Here is a 5288-nt window from a genome sequence, read left to right as displayed (position 1 = left end):
TCCCCCTATTCTAAAGAAAAACCGCACAAGATATCTTTTTACACAAAATACCTATGCTTGTTTTAAAAACTACTGTTTCAACATGCAAACAGCCCAGTATTGAGAAATACAGGTTACTGGGTGTCGGGGAAGTACCGTCCACTTGGAACCTTGTCCTTTCTGCATACTTAAGCACCTACTGATGAGCAAAGGAAGGAAATGTTTTCATGATTTAGACAGTAATGCATCAGAAGAGTGAAAACCACTTTCAAAACTACTTCACTTGGAGAGGTATTTTGCCCCTAAAGAAGTTTTCAGAAAGCCTCAGAGGACAAATGCACAGAATTCTAGCTGCTTGAATTTTTTCTTTGACCTTTTAAAGGACTCATATTTTCCTCCATCTGCTTTTGTTTGTTAATCACTGAGTTATTTCTGTTGCTTTTTGGTGTTTAGTATGTTCACATGGGCACTTCTTATTTTGAACAAAACTTTGTAACACTCTAAGAATATATTGAAAGTAGGAAAGTACTACTTAAAACTATTATTAATAGAAGAATCCAGAATGTATTTTATCATGGAACTGAGATAATTGCTGAATGGAAAAGGCAGTTTCCTACTCATTAAATATATAAAATTTGGACTCTATACCTAGAAACATGGACTTTATTTTTTAAGATTTACTCATTTTACTCTGTACTCTTGGAAACCTTCTTTTTGCCCTAGGAAGGGTACTTGGTTCTCATTCCTAAAATGAAGGAGATGTAATTTGTAAAGTCTCCAGCTCTAACTGGAAGACAGGAATTATACAAACACTGTCTCTCAGGACTGGTTTATATCCCTAATATTTCAAACATTATTTCCACAATTATTGTCACAATATTTTCTGTTTTAACTATGGTAGCAGTGGTAATGTATTCATTCAAGAAAATATTTTCTAGACTATAGAAGGTAACTTGATTCAGATGCTTAGAAAACTTTGGTTTTGTGTATCTGTTTGATTCTTGTGCAATTATCATCCATGAAATTCAAGAAAGTCTGAGAGAAATGAAGATCAATCCTCCTCCCCAATCACTACCAAATTACTTAATTCTATCTAAACTCAGACTTAAAAAATTGGATTTTTGTAACAAACTTCTAGAGGAGTTCCACAACTTCTTGTATTATATTTGTTTTGATCTTAGTTACATATGTTACATATACATGCTCCATACATATAAACACAGAGAGAGGGAGAAATAGACCCTGATTTATTATGTTACTCCTCCTTTTTGTAAAAGATCCAGCTACTTTTTTACTTTCAGATTTGATAAATCATGCTCATTCGTTAATATACCCAAATTACCCAGTGTCCAATGCATGTCTTTTTCTGATACTAGCATGGGAGGATACCAGGACATGAGGGATCAACAACTACAGGTATTGCTCTCCTTACATCCTGTCTTCCCACAGTGTTTGTCCCCTCCCTACAGCTCTTTGGAGCCTCTGGAGCTGTTAGGACCACGATTACCATTTCATATGCACTCCTGGGAAGGAAGAAAACTCTCATGGCTGAGTGCTTCCCAAGTGCCAGGTGCTCTGTTAGGCACATAATACATGTGAGTCAGTGTTTCCCCATGGTATGTGCACCCCTGGGGGTACGCAAATCATTTTAGGTAGGGTGATCACATCATTGATTGTCTAGACTGGGACATTTTGTGAGTCAAAACAATGTTATTAATAATTACACCAGGACAACAGAAATAAACAACAGAAAGAATCCCAATGGGATTCCCCTAGTTTTAGGAGATCCATATTTATCTTTTGTGATGCTTTCCATAAATGGTAAGTGATAATGGTGATAATGATACAAAGTTTTCTTTTGAAATGTGTTTAAGTTAAAAATCATAGTAAGTAAAAAAACTGGTCTTAGCTAGACTCAATACAATTTGTGAAACATTATAAGGAATAAGAAATACTGAGGTTTGGGAAATGCTCCATTAATCTCAGCAAACCTGTGGGAAATGTTAGTGTCTTTTGTTTTTAGTTAATGTGGAGAGTGAAGCTAGAAGAGTTAAGAAATTTGCTGACGATTATACAGATAATAAATAGGTGAACTGGTATTTAAACCTAGTACTATATGGCTCACAAATCCATGGTTTTTTCTTAGTAGGAGCTCTGAGTTTTATTTTTATTTTAACCAGGGTCTTAGATTTTTCCCTCTTTCTCTTAAATTGAGAAAAGGTAGAAAAATTTCTGCTCCAGTTTAGGTAGACTCTGTGTAGTTTAGTATAGTTTGGTGTCTTTTTGGCTGAGGCAGCTGGGACTTGGACCGCTCTTGGGTCTTATAGAATCTGCAGGCTCTCAGAGACCTTCCTCTGTTACCACAGCCTCTCCAGTCTTCCCTAGTGTCCAATTCCATTTAAAAGAAGATGCTTTTCTCTCTGGCCCACAGAGAGGCCTGTTTGGGGCCTTACATCATTTTGTTTAATCCTTCTGTTATCCAGAGGACGTGCTATCTGATGGATGCCATTGATGGGTGCTATAGACTGAATGTATATACTCTCCTTTCTCCCCCAGATTCATATGTTGAAACTTGATCCCCAATGTGATGGAATTTGGAGGTGGGGTCTTTGGGAAGCAACTAGGTCATTAGGGTGGTGCCTTCATGAACAAGCTTAATGCTCTTATAAAAGAGACTGCAGAGAAGTCCCCTGTCCCTTCTGACATTCGAGAAAACAGGAAAAAGCCATCTATGAACCAGGAAGCAGGCCCTCATCAGACACTGAAACTGTTAGCACCTCAATTTAGGACTTCCTAGCCTCTAGAACTGTGAGAAATAAATGTTTGTGGTTTATGAGCCACCCTATCTATGGTATTTTTGCTATAGCAGCTCTAACAGACTACGATAATGGATAGCTTTCTGATCTATACAATTTGACCAAAACATAAGCACTATTTGACCTTCGAAGCCGGTTTAATCATTTTTCTAAAACTTCACCTTTATCACACTCATTTTGAGCCAGTACTCTCCAATCTTTGTGATCAAATGCATTCTAATTCACTCAAAAGCAATTTTTAAAAATGCTTCCATATCCCAGCATTCTTCTAAAACTTGGGAAACTTCAATAAACAAAACAGACGAAAAGATACAAAGTCAGTGAGAAACAAAAACTGAAAGACTCTTGAACACAAAGCCCACAAATATGTATATATTTAGTAGATATGTACTCTTTTGAGTCTATACCTTAAATATTAGTAATGTTTAATTCTTTTCTTAGGAAAATATATATAAATGTTAACTTTTTTTTTCATCATTCATGTGAATGATCCTGCACATTCTTTGGGTAAGTGCATCCCAATTTGGGAACCATGTTTAAGTAACTCTCTGCAGAAACCAAGTAACCTCAAGGTTGATATCATTTGTTCTTAAAATGTATGTACGTGTATTAGTCTGTTCTGACACTGCTAATAAAGACATACCCAAGACCGGATAATTTATAAAGAAAAAGAAGTTTAATGGACTCACAGTTCCACATGGCTGGGGAGACGTCACAATCATGGCAGAAGGTGAAGGAGGAGAAAGGCATGTCTTACATGGTGGCAGGCAAGACAGCTTGTGCAGGGGAACTCCCATTTATAAAACCATCAGATCTTGTGAGACTTATTCACTATCATGAGAACAGTATGGGGGAAACTGCCCCCATGATTCAATTATCTCCACCTAGCCCTGCCCTTGACACATAGGAATTATTACAATTCAAGGTGAGATATGGGTGGGGACACAGAGCCAAACTACATCATTCTGCCCCTGGCTCCTCCCAAATCTCATGTCCTCACATTTCAAAAGTATATACCTTCACTCCGTCTCTTCACTACTACCTAACTTTTCTTGTTTCAAAGGAACTGCCTTTTGGGTTTTCACTAGGTTCCTGTTTCCTACCTGAGGAATCTACTCTGGGAAGCAGATCACAAGTGACTGAGCGGTTCTGAGCTCCTAAAATGAGGAAACCTTTCCCAGATCAAATTACTACTTGACATCTTAAGTTACCAGTTCAACAGGTGATTTTGGGGAGGCCAGGAGATTCATTATTCAGTGTATTACTCCTAGCTTTTCTCTGCTCATATAATACCCAATGTAGTAGTTCAATCATTACATTTTATAAAAATAAATTTAATATGCAGTAAATATTAAAAGAAAACAGTGAAAGGGAATATAATTCCTATTTGCCATGCATATTTCAAATTGCAATGTGAAATAGATACATGAAACAGATGCGAGCCAACTTGTTCTTTGACAATCATTGCTAGTTATTCCACAACAGATTTTATTGATCATCTTTCAAGTGCAAGCCACTATGGAAGAATCTTGTGGACTAGACAGAGTACTCAGCCAGAATCCCTATCTTTTGAATGAACTCTTTTATTCTTTAGTTTTTTGAACTTAGCCTACTCTCTAATAATAGCAGCATTTCTAATTTTCAGACATTCTTTTAGCTATTCTCTTTGCTCCTTCTGAGACTCTAAAAAGGCAATAACTGCTTTTATTTATTTATTTATTTATTTTTAAAATGGGTTGTCTATAAATACACCTGGTAATATGACTCACCAACCACCAAGCCATCTCACATAAAGAGGCAGAATTGTTTTGGGGCCACAGAAATCTGGTTTTGAGGGGGTGCTGTCTGGTTTCACAGCCTTGACTCCCATCTCTCTTCATTGGAGTCTTTCAAGGATGTCTCTGAATGGCTTTGCACAACACAGTGAGATGTGGTTTTGTGCAGAACTTAGGGCAAGGGGGAAAAAAAGAAAAGAGAAATAAAGCTTCCCTCTAGTAAATTGGCAGAAAAACATTTCTAAAGGTTACACACCACCCACACATTCCTTTCAAATGATCAAAGTCTTACAAGAGGTCACGGAAGGAGAAAACAGGAGAGAGGGAGCCTGAAATACTTTTTTTAAAGTGCTCTGTATTGCAATTCTTGCTGAATAAGGAACAAATTAGGACTCTTGTTAATCTTTTGGAAAATTATTGGATTGAAAGAAACAAACATTAAATTGAATCGGTAAACTGATATCTCTAAAATGAACAATGCCTATCTCTTTCTACATCTCATTCCAAATTCAACACTGTTTTTGTCCATCGCATTTTTAAGTATTTAATTTAGTTATTTATTTATTTTTAGTTTTAATTTTCATAGTCCTCTATACTTCCTGGTTTCAGCAGAATTCACTAAACTAGTCGTCTTGATATGCCAGTCCATCCCCACATGGGAAATACTTAACATTTAAAAGAAATCTGTCTGGACGTGATTTTCTTACCTATCGGTAGT

The 5288-nt window shown here is 36.6% G+C and overlaps 1 annotated feature.

Moving 5' to 3' along the window:
- Positions 278 to 367: an enhancer, noted in NCBI's record as "active region_17056". NCBI's record gives its function as "activates an Ori minimal core promoter by ATAC-STARR-seq in GM12878 lymphoblastoid cells {active_cell/tissue: GM12878}" and the evidence as "EXISTENCE:reporter gene assay evidence [ECO:0000049][PMID:35858748]".

Source organism: Homo sapiens, chromosome 2, assembly GCF_000001405.40.
Source record: "Homo sapiens chromosome 2, GRCh38.p14 Primary Assembly".
In the NCBI taxonomy this organism is placed as follows: Eukaryota; Metazoa; Chordata; class Mammalia; order Primates; family Hominidae; genus Homo; species Homo sapiens.
This window is presented reverse-complemented; position numbering and strand designations above follow the sequence as displayed.